Source organism: Homo sapiens, chromosome 4 (assembly GCF_000001405.40).
Source record: "Homo sapiens chromosome 4, GRCh38.p14 Primary Assembly".
NCBI lineage: Eukaryota > Metazoa > Chordata > Mammalia > Primates > Hominidae > Homo > Homo sapiens.
This window is the reverse complement of record NC_000004.12, coordinates 131,538,421-131,554,962: the sequence shown is the minus strand read 5'-3', so window position 1 is coordinate 131,554,962 and position 16,542 is coordinate 131,538,421. Positions and strand designations below refer to the sequence as shown.

Below are 16,542 nucleotides of genomic sequence, written 5' to 3'. Positions count from 1 at the left end.
AAGGATAATTTTAGTGTTTCTCATAAAAAAAAATTCTGAAGAAATTATTAACAGCTTAAATCCAAGCTTATAGACAACAGATAATCCAGAAAAAATTATCAACTAAAGACAATTGACCAAATTATATTTATATTATGAATGCAAGTTCAGCTTTACAAAAATTAGTGAATTCACCAATACATACACAGATTCCAGGATAAAAATTGCATCATTATTAACAGATACAGAAAATGGTAAAATTCTATAGTCATATTTGATGAACATGTACTGTAATTAGGAAGTAAATAAACTGGCTTAATATAATAAGAGATAAAATATACTCATAGCTATATATTTATCTCTCTTTTTTTTTTTTTTTTGAGACAGAGTCTGGCTCTGTCGCCCAGGCTGGAGTGCAGTGGTGCGATCTCGGCTCACTGCAAGCTCCGCCTCCTGGGTTCACGCCATTCTCCTGCCTCAGCCTCCCGAGTAGCTGGGACTACAGGAGCCCGCCACCACGCCCAGCTAATTTTTTTTTGTTTGTATTTTTACTAGAGACTGGTTTAATAATAAATATTATCATGTTGGCATAGTATTTATTCTTGCTTTTCTCTTTTATATATATCCAGAAGAATATGTGTTTTTGTTTGTTTTTGAGACAGAGTTTTGCTCTTGTTGCCCATGCTGGAGTGTAATGGTGTGATTTCGGCTCAATGCAACCTCCACCTGCCAGGTTCAAGCGATTCTCCTGTCTCAGCCTCCAGGGTAGCTGGGATTACAGCCGCCTGCCATGACGCCCAGCTAATTTTTTTATTTTTAGTAGAGACGGGGTTTCACCACATTGGCCAGGCTGGTCACGAACTCCTGACCTCAGGTGATCCACACACCTCAGCTTCCCAAAGTGCTGAGATTACAGAATAAGTTTATAACATATTCTACATATAAGGTATATATAGAGTGTGTGTGTGTGTGTGTGTGTGTGTGTGTGTGATATAAGATCTAAATATATGGGAACAAATGATAAAAATCATATCCATGGATAAGAACTCAATAACTCAATAGTGCAACAGAGATATCTCATCTCAAATTTATCTATAGATTTCAAAGAGATCCCAATCAAAATCCCAACAGAATTTTTGTGGATATTGTCAATCTAATTCTAAAATATATATAGAAATATAAATAAGAATAGCAAGAATAAACTTGATAAAAATACAAATTTGAAGAAATATATGGAATTTATAACCATATTTATTAAAAATATATAATAAATAGAGACACATATATTGATGTAAGGAAAAACAAAAAGACCAGTATGATAGAATACAAAGTTTGAAAAAAAGCCTATGTATATATGGAACTTGAGTCATGAAAAAATGCACTGTAGAGAACTTGAGAAAAAAATGCTTCAATAAATGGCACTGTTGTATTTGTATGTTTATATAGTAGAAGGAATATTTCCCCAACTCCATATTATGGACAAATATGAATTCCAGTTGACTATAGGCCTATCTAATAAAAAATGATAGGTCATTAGAGAATTATATAGAATAATTAATACATGAATTAATGTGTATGGTTTCTGAATAAAAAGACATTAAATGTAAAGAAGAAATAATGAATTTTACTAAGAAAAACATGGCAAATTTGGACAACAAACACTTAAATCAAAGAACTTCTGTATCAAAACATAACAGAGAGATAGTGAAAAATCAAATCAAAACTGGAAGAAAATATCTGCAATTAATATCACCTAAAAGCACTAATACTCAAAATGTACAGAGTCCCTTTGTAATTAAATTTTTAAAAAAGAACAGCCCAAAAGAAAATAATATGAGCTAAAGCTTGAACTCTCACTTCCAAAAAAAAAATAAATAAATAAAGGAAATCTAAATGGCCAACGAACATATGACAAACCTATAACTTCAACGGTATTTAGGGAGATGCAAATTAAATCACAACAGAATTTAACAAAAATTGATAAAAATTTTAAAAACTGACAACAGCAACAACAACTCTCACATACCACTGGTGAGAATGTAAACTGAAATTGTTATTTTAACAAACACTGTATTTATTTCATTATGTTGAGGAAATCTATACCCTATAACCCAGAGATTTTACATCTGTATTTGTATGTTATATACTCATACCTATATAGGGATACATACTGAAAAATATTAACTGCAATATTACTTAAAATGGTGACAATTTGATGACAACGTAAATATTCAGCAATCAAAAAATAAATGAATTGTGATGGTATGCATATAAAAGAATAGTATAGACAGTCAACATTAACAAAATAGAGCTACTAACAAAAACGTTAATGAATCTTAGAACCACATTACTGAAGAGAAGCTGTCAGAACAAAAGGCATATACTGAATGCACCATTTATATAATCTTTACAACAAAACAAAACAAGACAAAACAAATTATATTGTTAAAGGACATATACATGGAAGTTAAAGCTGAAAAGACAACTGAGAAATCAATTCCCATAAAAATCATGTTAAGGCTAATCTTTGTAAGACGGGAGGGTGTCAGTCAGGAAGGTGTATTGGAAGGACTGGCAATGTTTTATTCCTTGACAAAAGCAATCATTACATGAATGTTCATTATATAATAACTTTTAAATGACATTCATGGCTGGCCATTTTTCTAGTCCACAGAAAAATTTTTAATAAGTAGATTTTCTTTACTTTTTCTCTCATTGCCAATAATGACTTGTTCTCCTTTTTTACCGTATGACTGTATTTTTTACCATACAGAGAAGAGTTCTACCTTTTTATAACATATGCTAATATTAGATTTTGACAACTTATTAAGAAGATTAAAGACCAGGCACAGTGGCTCATGCTTGTAAACCCAGCACTTTGGGAGGCTGAGGCAGGAGGATCACTTGAGGTCAGGAGTTCAAGGCCAGCTTGGCCAGCATGCTGAAACCCCGTCTCTGCTAAAAAAAATACAGAAATTAGCTGGGCATGGTGGTGCGTACCTGTAATTCCAACTACTCGGGAGGCTGAGGCAGGAGAATTGCTTGAACTTGGGAGGAGGAGGCTGCAATGAGCCAAGATCATGACACTCCACTTCAGCCTGGACATCAGAGCAAGAATTCGTGTAAAAACAAAAAACAAAAAACAAACCAAAATAAAAAACAAAACAAAACAAAAAGAAGAAGACTAAGAAAAAGAAAGCTAAATGTAAGTTATTTTGGAGTGATCTTAGAGATATCTTTATATTTTATTCTTCACATAAAATTGTGTTAATAATGGTATAATTTATTGAACTGGTATTTTACAGAGTCTGATAAATCTTTAAGTGATGGGCACAGTGTGAAGGAGGTAACTTTAAAACATATACATGGAAAAGACATCCTCTGAGTTCCTGACTTGGATAACACAATTCATAATGAACTGATTGAAACTGAAATTTCCACCACACATCATTGACCTGTAGTAGTATTGTTCTTACATATGTTTCACAGAGAAAACTGAAGCTGTATCTACCTCACTGTCCTCTAAATTCCTCCAACACAAATCATTGCCCAAAGTTCAGCAGCAAAATTGAGGCACCACTCTACACTGACTAAATCAGAATTTGCAATTTTAGCAAGATTCACAGATGACGTGTATGAAACTTAAAGTTTTATAAGAATTGACCTACAGTCCTCTAATGAAACATATATTTGATCTGACATATAAAATAATGCATCCTGTGTTATTAGATGTTATATAAATTTCAAAGCAAAATAAACACACAGGCTAAATATTTTTACAATTGAATAATTTTGCCAAAGCATGTGAATGACATTTATTCATTTTATTTTGAGTTTTTAAAAAGGACATTCAGATGCAGAAAAAGTGATGTTGAAGTGGGGAAATGTTTTCAGAAATCAGAGCAAGTAGAATCATTACAGCTATTTGTGTTAAAATATTTAAAAGAGTATAATTAAGATTAAGCAAAAACAAGTATGGTACACAATATGAACATTTTAATATTAATAATATGACATAATAATATGTACACAATGGAATACTATTCAGCCTTAAGAAAATAGGAAATCCTATAGTCACAACAACATGAATGCACCTGGGGGACACTATGCTAAGTGAAATAAGCAAGATCACAGAAAGACAAATAAAACGTGATCTCACTTATATGTAGTTCTGAAAAAGTAGAACTCATAGAAGCAGAAAGTTGAATGATGGTTATCAGGGACTAGTTGGGAGGGTGGATATTGAGATACAAAAGGATACAAAATTTCAGTTAGGCAGGAGGAATAAGTTCAAGAGGTCTTTGTGGTGACTACAGTTGATAAAAATGTATTGTATTCCTAAAAATTGCTAAGAGAATAAATAAAGTGTTCTCACCACACACACACACACACACACACGGACAGGTATGGAAGGTAATATATATGTTAATTAGCTTGATTTGGCCATTCCACAACATATACATATTTCAAAACATTATGTTGTACGTGACAAATATATACAACTATAATTTGTCAATTAAAAATAATGACTAAATTAAAAATTTGTTTAATGCATTGATAAAATCAGCTTAAGAAAAAAGAAAAAAAACAAAACAAAGATTTATTGTCCAGAATACATTAAATATGACTATGATCAGAAAGCTATATGGGTTTTAGTGAAATACAAGCCTTTGATATTTCTATAAATTATGTAATAAACATGATAAATTTAATTTTAGCAATATTTTCTTCCAGTTATTTAGAACCTAAACTAATTCCCAGGAACATAGAATGACACAGAAAATTCTGTTTACATCACTTAATAGCCCAGCACTCAAGTCTTTCATTGCAGTTTTTTATTTGTTTGTCTTTCCATTTTCAGAGGTACCAAAGACTCCATTAATACTTTAATTTCAACTGTGTATGGAATTTAATTTATATAAGTCATATTATTAATATTAAAACGAACATATTTCTTCTGCTAATACTTAAGTGTCCCAAGCATAACAACATCATTAAGTGAAGTAATTATTACATTATTTTTAATATTTTTATAATGGTAGAATATTTAAAAGTTTATTTTTTCCTGGGAGTCCAGAATAATGTAGAATTTACATGGTTTATAATCATATCAACATTGTGCTGCCCTTTGTAGGTTAACTCCCAGGGAAATCAAGTAGCCTAATTCCTGGCCTTTATGGGACAGTACACCTTGGGGATAGGCAAGGCATAATTTTTGCATACAAATGTAAGGACCTTGTCTGCTGCTTTGCTTCCTTAAGAGATTACAACTGCCTACAACCTGAGAAAACACTCAAGCCCTCCAATTGCAAAGTCATGTATTATCTGTGTGCCCAACAATTTTGGAACGGCAGCATCCTCAAATAACCACGTCTGTTCCCTATTAGAAAATAAGGGTATAAATATCAAGAATATTTCATCCCAACCATCTCCTCTTGGTAGAACTGTAAAGCACAATGACTTCCTGATTTCCTCTGCTAAACCCCTCATTCCACAACCTCTTCTCTCTTCATACCACTGCCAGCCACGCCTTTCTAAATGAACATCCTTGCTATGATTTAGGAACTGCCTGCAGCTTCTTGACATCCCTCCCTGTTCCCATGTAGGTGGTCAGAGTCCTGTCTTCACTGAACCTTCTTTGGAAGATTCTCCATGATCCATTACACAACTTAATTCTTAACTATCCACTAAGTTCCACTCCCTCTTGCAACCCTGCTTCATGCCCTTAAGGCCAGGTTCTTTGGTATGTTTTAAATAATTCACTGAGTAACTTAAAGAGCACGATAAAGTTAAATATCTGTTATAAGTAAAGTTTCGGTACCACAAAAGAAATAGCACTCAATATAAAATTTTCTTTTTTTTTTCTTCTTGGCAAGGCTGTTTACTTCTATAGGGTGGTTCACCCTCACAGATGGAGCAAAGGTGAGAGCACATCTCGACAAGGGAGGAAAAGGGGGTCTTATTCCTGATGCACGTGTCCCCTGCTGCTGTGTCATTCCCCTATTGGCTAGGGTTAGACCACACAGGCTAAACTAATTCCGACTGGCTAATTTAAAGAGAGTGACAGGGTGAGTGGTTTGGCGGGAAAAATGGTTATGGCAGAGCAGGAAATCGGAATGAGTCAGGGTGGAGAATGAACAGGTAATCAGAATGAGTCAGGGTGGAGCAGGTAATTGGAAAAGCTTGCTTTACAAGGAAGTCAAGTTTAAAAGTAGAAGGTAAAGAATTGAACATATTGACGTATTGATTCTTTGAAGAGAAAGTTAGAACTCATATCTAACATACCTAAAACAAAGTATGTTTTATCTTTCCAAGAAAATTCAGTAGTGATCTTTTGTATATATTTTCTGCATTTGCTGTGAAGCAAAAAATATATATGTAATGTGTGTGTGTGTGTGTGTGTAAAACGAAACCTACTGAACCAATGGAAGAAATGTCAGACCTAATAAGAGAGGATGGAAATTAAGTCTGTATAAGGCATGTAAATAGTCTTTGAGCAAAAATTACCCCATGAGGCACAACATATCTGTGTCACTCATGTATTCTAAATTATTTGCTTATATACACTGAGTAAATGATCATTAAAAGATATGTTTGGTATACATAGAGTATTCATTGATTGACTTGGCTTCTAGTTCTGCCTCTGCTATTAAGAAGCTATTTTGTCTTAGAAGTATCCTGTAACTTTATTGGGGCTTAGTTTTCACATCTGTAAAAGAAAGGGGACCAGTTAAATGATTCCAAAAGCTCCTTCTATATCAACTACTTTATAATTAATTTCAATATTAGAACAAAGATATTGAAATACGTGTTGTAGCAGGTCAAGCCCAGAAAAAACCTCTCAGACACCAAGTTGTAGAAGGAAGGGCTTTATTCAGCTGGGAGCATCAGCAAGCTACTGTCTCAAAATCCGAGCTCCCTGAGTGCACAATTTCTGTCCTTTTTAAGGGCACACAACACTAAAGATTTCACATGAAAGGGTCATGATTGATTTGAGCAAGCAAGGGGTACGTGACAAGTGCTGCATGCACCGGTGGTCAGAGAGAAACAGAACAGAGCAGGGAGTATCACAATGTTCTCCCATACAACGCCTGAAATCTATGGGTAACATCGGGTTCTAAGTCATGAGTTGATTTTTAACTACTAGGTTTAGGCCAAGCAGGCCCAGGCCCAGTTTTGGGCCTGGCGCCGGGCTGCCTGTCTTTGGTTTCACTTCCTCGTTTTTTTCTTAAAACAGGTACTGAGTATAAAACAATATGAGAGGGTCTCTCTCTTCCCTCAGTGTGACAGATAATTCAGGCAGTAATCTGTGTATACCTAGAAATAGTGAAGGAGTTAAAAAAGCAGAATCAGCTTTCAAATTGGAGCAGAGCTGGCTTCACATTAACTGTCCTATCACTTGAGGTCAGGAGTTTGAGACCAGCCTCTCCAGCATGGTGAAACCCCATCTCTACTAAAAATACAAAAATTGGCCTTAGCATGGTGGTGGGTGCCTGTAGTACCAGCTACTTGGGAGGCTGAGGCATGAGAATCACTCGAACCCAGGAAGTGGAGGTTGTAGTGACTGGAATCACACCACTGCACTCCCTTCCTGGGGGACAGAGTGAGACTCTGTCTCAAAAATAAATAAATAAACAAACAAATACTCCTATCAATACACACAGCATCATGTGGAAGTCACATAAGCTTCCAGAAACTCATTTTCTTGTTATTTATTTATTTATTTATTTATTTATTTATTAAGAGAGGGTCTGGCTCTGTCACCTGGGCTAGAGTGCAATGGTGTGATCTTGGCTTACTGCAGCTTCAAACTCCTGGCCTCAAACAATACTCTTGCCTTAGCCTTCCAGGTAGCTAGGACTAAAGGCGTTCACCACCATGCCCAGCTACTTTTTCAAATTATTTAGAGAGATGGGGTTGTGCTATGTTGCCTAGGCTGGTCTGGATCTCCTGGCCTCAAGCAATCCTCCCACCTTGCCCTCCGGAAGTGCTGGGATTACAGGCATGAGTTACTGCACCCAGCCTTTCTTATTCTTTAAATTGACAAATTAACATGTGAACTCAAGATTCCAAGACAAAAATAAGTAAAATGTAGGTAGAACAACTCAGTGTATTGGTCCATAGTAACTTCTAGGTCCCTTTTAAACACTAAATGGCTGTTCCTATTCAGTTTCAAAATAGATCTAGATTATCTGAGTGCTGCAGTTAAATAGTGTAGTGACAGTGTGACAAGATACATATTTAATCTCTCACATGTAGCTTTCCTCCTGGACTACAGTATACTTTTACATTTTTGGAAAAATATATGAGGATGTAATGAATCATATGCTGACACATTTGGTAAAATACAAATATATTTGCATTTATCATTAATGTTTATGCGCAGATTTGAGGTTATTGTTTGATTTCTCATGTTAAGCTTTATGGATTTTATTATGTTAATTATAGAAATGGTAACTGCTTTAACATAAAAGTAATTAAGATGCTGTGAAGGTTACCATGTTCAATCTTTTGGTTTCGCCTTCCAGAAATTAGAAACAGAATATTGTTTATAGAGGTCCTTCACTCTTAAAATTGCATTCTTGCATTTATATTGGCCTTCAGGGAAAATGCAAGCACATTGATTTAACTTGGTTGGAGAGGACACAACATTTTTAAATGTAATTTTTGTGTTGATGTAAATGCACCCAGAGGACTAAGAGTTGATCCACACTTTAAATTAATTGGAATAAGCAAGATTCAAATTCTAAATACTTCTTTGATTACCCATGGGAAAAACCTTATTTAGTATGGGTTTGAAAATGCGCATCTTAAAACATTTTAAACAATCACTGCTAAAAATAAAACATTCTAAATTATTCTCATTATTGCAGTAATCTATACAGTATATCAAACTTTCCAAATTTTAAGTAAATTTGACAATAGCTTATTTGAAATGTATATATTAGTAAATTATTAAATAAGATTAACATGATTAACCTTGCAATATTGCAAGATTATCATGATTAACCCTGAGAGAGCTTCTCTGAAATACTTAAATAGGTAGGGTATTAAAGGCAATTCAATAGTAATCGGGATGAATAAAAGACTTGGGTTTAAGAAATTATCTTTAATCCTTGAATTGATTTAGCAAAAGTGTTCTGTCTCTGAGAAAATAAAGCAAGCAGAAAGTTAGTATTTATTGTTTAATATAGAAAGATATATGAAAGCAATTATGCATATTGCTTTCTTTGAACTACATTATTTTTAGTCAATTTTGGCCCAAACATATGACTTTTTAAGGTCAAACTCCATTTATTTATTTAGACTGATATAGTAAAGCCTTCTTCTCTTATATTAATTGTAGCAAATTATATATAGCCATAAATCAAGAACACTTTTTGATATTTTGGTTTATGCTTAAAATATTGGCAGATTTTCACGGCCTACATAATTTTAAATAAGAATTGTGCCCTTAGTTGTGGTCTTCTTCTATTTCATCATCACCATCATTAAAATTAATTTTAACATTATTTGTTATGTATCATTACACATAGAGTACTATGTTGACAGAATAAAATTATCAGGAGCTTATATCTGATGCAGGACTAATGAAGATACAACTTTGCAGGACACAGAAAACTATCAGTGGATTTCACAATATACACAACATATGATAGACAAGGACCTTTATAGAAGTAAAGGGAATATTTAAGCTTGATCCACCAGTGCTACCTAAAAAGAAAATGTCAATATATGATATTCAGCTACATAGAGATTTGTGATAACTTGCATTTATCATTATTGCCTTCTCTTTGGATTCCTTGGCATTGTGTCCTCTTTTTCAGTGATTCACAATGAAGCTGGTAGTATCCATGTGAGCAGCTTCAAAATTAAAAGGATGGCAATGTTATATTTGAGAGTTCTTTTGTATAATCAGCAATAGACTTTTTATTATATAAAATAACACTGATATATAAATCTTGAAAATGACATCTGAAAAGAATCCAGATAGGCTGATGAAAAACAAATGGCAACTAATGTATTTTTTCACATTGACTATGGCAGTGATTTATTATATTGTCTAAGATGCTAAATATATACCATAAATCTCTCCAACAGAAGTCTAGTTATATTCATTCATCTCTTTTCCATGAGCCAAAATTTCCTTTTTATAAACTTGGTTGCAGAAAAAAAGTCATTATTTTTTAAGTGCCATTTAAATCTAGTGATTTTACATTGGATGTAAAAACTCAACAAGGTTTGTTTTTTTTGTTTGTTTGTTTGTTTTGGGTTTTTTTTTTTAAATTTTTCAACTTCATTAGAGAGATTACCAAACCAGAAATAAATGTTTCTATTCAAGATTTCCTTTGTGTTGGAAAGAGAGAACAAAATACTGCAGCTCATGGTCTCAAGTGTCAATTTTAGCCTTTATGGCACATAAACCCAACGGAAAGGAGAAAGAGGAAAAAAATGAGTGTAAAACATGGAATTCCCATATTGGGTAATTCATTCTTTTTTATATATTCTGTCTGAATTATAAATTTTATTAACTGTTTTGTTAGTTGAGCATACAGGTAATACTTCAACTCATTTTTCAATGTTTTCCATAGGAATACTATCAAATAATATATAAAATGAAACCATATTATCCACAGAACAAAGAGATTAAGGCTGTAAATTTATTTCTGTGTGTCTACTTGTCTGCTTATGAAAGGAAACGAAAAGTGTTTTCATCATAGAAAAATGTAAAATATGTTTTTGAGCTTAACTTAAGAGTTACGCATCCCAGGGAACTCAATATATAATCTATTTTTTTTTTCCTGGGAATAACTTTCAGCAAGTTGAGAAGAACTAATTATCATGGAATAACTAGACTCAAGGCTCTCCAAAGTAATGCCTGCATTTGTATTTAATCTTTTAGCAAAGATCCTTGTCATCAAAAGTTTGCATCATTTGTGCATTGTTGAGTTAACTACTCTGCCAAAGCAGTGTGCTCAGCTTGTTGTTTGAGTTTTAATATAATTTATTCTATTATGAACAATGACAACGTTTGTGAAATTTAAAAGCACAGTTTTTCTTAGATCTCATTTCAGATTTTACAGTGATATCCTTTAATTTGGATGTGGTCCGGATAACATGAAATGTGAAAACAAATGAGTGTGAATCAAAAAGAAATATACAGTATAAAAATAAGGAAACAAAGTAAGGTAACTTGAGTAAGAGTTGTGCAACACACACACACACACACACACACATTTTTCTGAAGGGTTTGGATAAAGAATGCATTTAAGTTTGAATCCTGACTTCTAAATTTTGTGTCTAAATGCATGTTATATTCCAGGTTTTAGCAGTTTTAACTGACAACAGGCATGAAAATCCTAATTCTGGAAAATCAAAAGAAGATTAACATTTGACTACCATTTATGGATCGAGTCTTAAATTGGTAAAGTAAAATAGAAATTTTAAAAGATTTCAAATATGAAATGGAGTGCTCAGCTTTTTTATAAAGCTTGGCAGCAAAGGACCCAGCAAATAAAGTTAATTTGAGTTCAACTAGTTTATAGGTATATTTAAACATAAAATGTAAATACTTGTCTCATGTAATCTTCAGTATTTCTCTTTGAATACATTTTTTAAAGTTCAGCATGTCTCTTACAACATTTGTGAATCAAATTTAACACATTTATCCTGCTTATGTTGTACTTTTGTTGTGTTCTATGGATGAGGAGATATAATAAAATAAAATAATGTATATGGAATAGCCTCTGATTTCGAGATGCTCACAATTGAATAGGGAAACCAAACAGCATACATAATGCAGTATAAACACATTATTTAAATCTATTTATAAGCAAAAATGATATAAGTAAATTATAAAGATAGAACTATAACAACTGTGATTACAACTGCATGACTATGCAGATAGAAAATGCATAAATCAATCTAGGCTTAGAGTGAGATAATGATTTGAAGAATGACTTAGTAATACTATTGCTGTGATGAAAATGTGACCTTAAACTTGTGAGAGTCAGTGGAAAGTTGAAAGTAATTAGTGCTTTTTTTTTTTTTTTTTCTCTTTGAGATGGAGTCTTGCTCTGTCGCCCAGGCTGGAGTGCAGTGGTGAAATCTCGGCTCACTGCAAGCTCTGCCTTCCGGCTTCATGCCACTCTCCTGCCTCAGCCTCCCAAGTAGCTGGGACTACAGGCGCCCACCACCACACCTGGTTAATTTTTTGTATTTTTAGTAGAGACGGGGTTTCACCTTGTTAGCCAGGATGGTCTCGATCTCCTGACCTCGTGATCCACCTGCCTCGGCCTCCCAAAGTGCTGGGATTACAGGCTTGAGCCACTGCGCCCGGCCTAGTGCATTTTTTTAACATTGGACTAACAAGTATCTCATACATAAGTTTCTTATCTAAAACTTTTTCAGTTTCTTTATTCATATCTTGTAATAGCCGGTGAGCGTGTAATTCAAGATTGACATTTAAACAGAGAATTTCAGAAACACTACCTGTATAAATTAGAGTCAAAGAAAGAAAGTTTATGCCAAAATAATTATAACCAAAAAGCACATAGCAGCATTTATTGTCAGTGAAGGTACAAAGTAATCATCAGAAGCTGCTAAAAATTTTTCATATGTCAGAACTAATTTCTCTTTACTCTGGATATTCAAGTTTTTAAAATAACATTTAGTGCTCTCAACAGAATTGTGAATTAAACAAATGTGATATAGACTATATATTTATACTCGTATTTTTATTTGTCTTTTGTGGGTGTTCTAGGCCTTACAAACTATTGTCTTAAAATTTGACTTTTTGACAAAGATAGAACAGTATTCTGAGAATCTGAATCTTACCCCTAAAGTGTTTAACTAATCTGTCTACAATTATGGCCGCCTGAGTGCTTTCTTAAAAATTAATGGAGACATTTTGATCATATCTGCAGGTACTATCTAAATGCACCATATTAAAGTTGGAAATCTAAAACTTTCTACTTCACATTTGCAAACTTTTAAGTCCATTCCTGTTATTTCTAAAATCTGAAACTCTTCATTTAATTTGAGAAGTTAAGGTGAACTCTCACAAAATAAACTATTTTGAGTTCCACGAGATGGAAGATGTGGGCAGAAAAATATAGTATTAGAAAATTACTTTTTAGTGTGCAGTAAGAAGTTTCACAGCAGCTGTGAATCAGGCATTTTCTAACTCACTGCATCATAAAGAGCTGAATATTCTTTTTGCCTTAACCAGGTTCTGGGCCACACCTTTCTTCTCCACACCACATCTATTTACATACCCAAAGTGCCATTTCTCTGAGATGGGCCAAATACATTATTTTTGTCCAAAATGTAATACACTTTACTTATTCATATATATTTATTAATAAAACAGATTATTATCCTTCAGAATTAAATTGCTACACTAAATTTATCTGTATTTTTGTTAAGTAGTTCACAAACACAAAGACAATGTTGATTATATTTTTATCTGACAGTTTTCTAAATATTTGTGATTCTTGTGTTCTGATATACATTTTTATACTCTAGCAATATTTTACACAAAATAAAACAAACATAGATGAAAGCAAACTTTATATTATGCTTCATACTTTTATTTGATCCATTTGCTAGCTCTTTGAGGATTCATTTACCTTGATGTCGCACCAATCAAGTTATATGTTGGAGCCAGCAATGTTCACCATAAGATTCCATACAAACAGCTACACTTCTCACTTCTTTGTAGACCATGCACACTATCAAAACCCAAATGTTTTAATTGTAGAAAACAAGCTGTTGTGATTTCTTTGAGGTTATCCTAGAATACTGGGGAAGATGAAGGCAGCCAGCCTGCCTTAGCAATAGCCTAAGATGAAAAAAAATGTGATTTCAAATAGACAGAAGAATAACAGAATACTGCTCTATCATTCTTTTTGCCAAGATCTAGAATGCTTCACTCTAGAAATATGTTTAGAAGAAATTGAAGAAGATATATATTTTTTAAAAGGAATCAATGAATCAGCATTAAGGTATCCAAGGTAGCATATAGTCCTGATTTAACTGCTATAAGCAGTTTGATATTCTAAGTCAGGCTATGAAAAGGATTAGTAATCCCATTTGAATAATTAGATATTCAAAGCATAAGAGCTTAGGCTATGTGTATAATTTCAGAATATAAGAAAAAATCATAAATTAGACTGAGGCCCATTCTTTATATATGGAGAGAGAATAAGCAAAAAAAAAAAAGATTTTCAAAACAAAGTTCAAGATGCATGGCTAGAAGCAGACCTCTTGCAATGCTACTTAGGTATGTTCAATGTAAATATGATAGATAAGTAGATAAACAGACATCAGTATTATCCTTCAATCTGAGGAAGAACAAGGCAGCATAACATTAGGCCACCTGTCCTGGCTTTCCTACAGAACTAGATTGAAAGATACCAATAGATTGGGGTTCATACAATTTGAGCCCCAGATGCTTTTTTCTACCCAGAAGTATGGGCCACCCGCAGGCCGCTCACACCCAGTGCTGTTCTGCACTGTGGGCTGTGCAGAACATTCTCAAGGCCCAAGGAGTCTCCCTTACAGCCAGAAGGAGCCCCACAACTTCAGCTTCTTGGCCAGCCTCCCACAGGTGTTTGCCCAGCTCCTCCTCATCCCAGCAGCCTTGCTGGAGACTGAACTAGAGGTGGTCAATCGTATGTGGATTGAAGGGAGTGGACTGCAATCAGCCAGGTTTGATCACCTACATTTAAGTAATTACCATGGTTAGAACTACAGTTTCATTTTGCAATGAAATATTGGATCAGCGTTGTGTAGTTTAACAACAACAACAAAAAAAGGAGGGGGGGTTTGCTACTTTTTTTTTTTTTCTGGAACGAAAAGATAGAAAAATAATTCATTCCAACTAGAGCATGTTAATCTAACAGGAAATTCACACTTCAGAATACTAAAATCTTTAAATTGCATTTAATTATCAAAGGATCAAAAGCAACCCACTTAAAATAACATTTTCTTTACTGATATTAGATTTAATTTTCTGACTATGTCTCTCTTTGTGTATGTCTCTCTTTTCAGTCTTTCTTTCCCTTCCTTTCTAATAGACACCAATTAGTTCTGATATATGATAGGTATAGAATATTGTGGTAGACTGAATAATGGCCCCCCCCAAAGATGTCCCATCCTCATCACCAGGACCTGTAAACATATTATCATATATGGCAAAAGGACCTTTGCAAATGTGATTAAATTCAGGATTTTGAGTTGGGAAGTTTATACTGGATTATCCAGAGAAAGCCAACATAATCCCAAGGGTCTATAACAGAGAAGACAGAAAGATCAGTCAGTGTGACAATAAAAGAAAGAAGTTAGAGTGATTTGAGAAAGGGATCTCAGCCTCTAGAAGCTGGAGAAGGCAAGGAAACATTCTCCAATAAAGCCTTTTGAAGAAATGCAGCTCTGCTGGCACATTGATTTTAGGCTTTTGACTTCTTGTACTTCGAGAAAAAAAATATTGTGTTGTTTTAAGTGGCAGAGGTAGAGCTGATTTGTTACAGCAGCAACAGACAACTACTACAAGTGTTGCCAAAGGTGATTCTGGGAAGGAGACAGGAGTCCCTTCATGGCTGAATAATTAGAGAATGCACTAGGGAGAAAATAATAACTGAATAATTTTGAAAGGTTTGCAGGATTTAATTTGATGACTATTGATAGGATTATGTTCTTCTGTCCTTATGATATAACCTTAGTAATCAAAGACTGATATGTGTGATACTGATTTTAAATGGTGAGTGGTCTAAATTGGCTAACAATGAGAGAGTTCAATATGTTACCAGAGTGAATATCAGTGTCTCAATGAGTGAAAAAAATAGGAATCATAGGAACAACTATATAGGAAATATAGCAGAAGGAATGAGTATAGAGGAAATAGTAGAAGTTTGCTGAAAATAGCAATGGATACAAAATTGTGGATTTCCTTGAATATTTATACTAGGAAAGAGAGTTTTTTAAAGGACAAACAACTTTGAAGATAATAAGAGGAGGAGATGAAATCAAGACCCATTTATCAAAATCCATGTCTGGGTCTTAGTCTCCTGATGAGGAGTTCGAACTAGATATTCTATATTATGTTATTTCATATAAAGTATACAGGTAATGAAGGTACTTTAGGCATAAAATAATCAAAAAAGTTTCATTCATCTAAAATTAGTGAAAGAGTATGATCGATAAATGTTTCTCAAACTTTAATATGTGTATGGTTTACTTGGATATCTTATTAACACACAGGATCTCAGTTAGTAGGTCTGGATTGTCACATTTTTATCACACTCCTAGGTCATTCCCAGACTTTGGCTCCTCAATGTCTATTTTATTGTCTATTGTGAGAGCACTGAGCCTGCAATTTTGGAAAGTGTTTCAAAAAATTCTTATAATCACAAGAAGTTTGAGAATCATTGCATTCAAGTAATTAATCCATATTTTGGGCCTACTAATTACTAACCAGGCAGAATAGCTTCAGTGTCATTGAAGCATTTATTATTAGCACAGACACTAGGTAGTAACTGATCAAATTTTGTGTGCTCTGAG

At 33.8% G+C, this 16,542-nt stretch overlaps 1 long non-coding RNA gene across 20 annotated transcripts in view, besides 1 other annotated feature; it reads right to left on the bottom strand.

The window, feature by feature from the left end:
* The window catches only part of LINC02377 (long intergenic non-protein coding RNA 2377), a 338,568-nt gene that overhangs the window by 163,362 nt on the left and 158,664 nt on the right, over nt 1-16,542 (bottom strand). For 4 of the 20 annotated variants that reach the window (NR_183925.1, NR_183931.1, NR_183933.1 and 1 more), the window contains one exon: nt 2,980-3,077. The exons of 13 other annotated variants lie outside the window; for them this stretch is intronic. This is a non-coding gene — a long non-coding RNA (long intergenic non-protein coding RNA 2377). Of the gene's footprint in view, nt 1-1,583; nt 3,078-9,153; nt 9,844-16,542 lie in introns of those variants that run through there. 3 more of the 20 variants (NR_183938.1, NR_183937.1, NR_183939.1) reach the window with 2 other exon arrangements.
* Nucleotides 7,041-7,290: an enhancer, noted in NCBI's record as "active region_21904". NCBI's record gives its function as "activates an Ori minimal core promoter by ATAC-STARR-seq in GM12878 lymphoblastoid cells {active_cell/tissue: GM12878}" and the evidence as "EXISTENCE:reporter gene assay evidence [ECO:0000049][PMID:35858748]".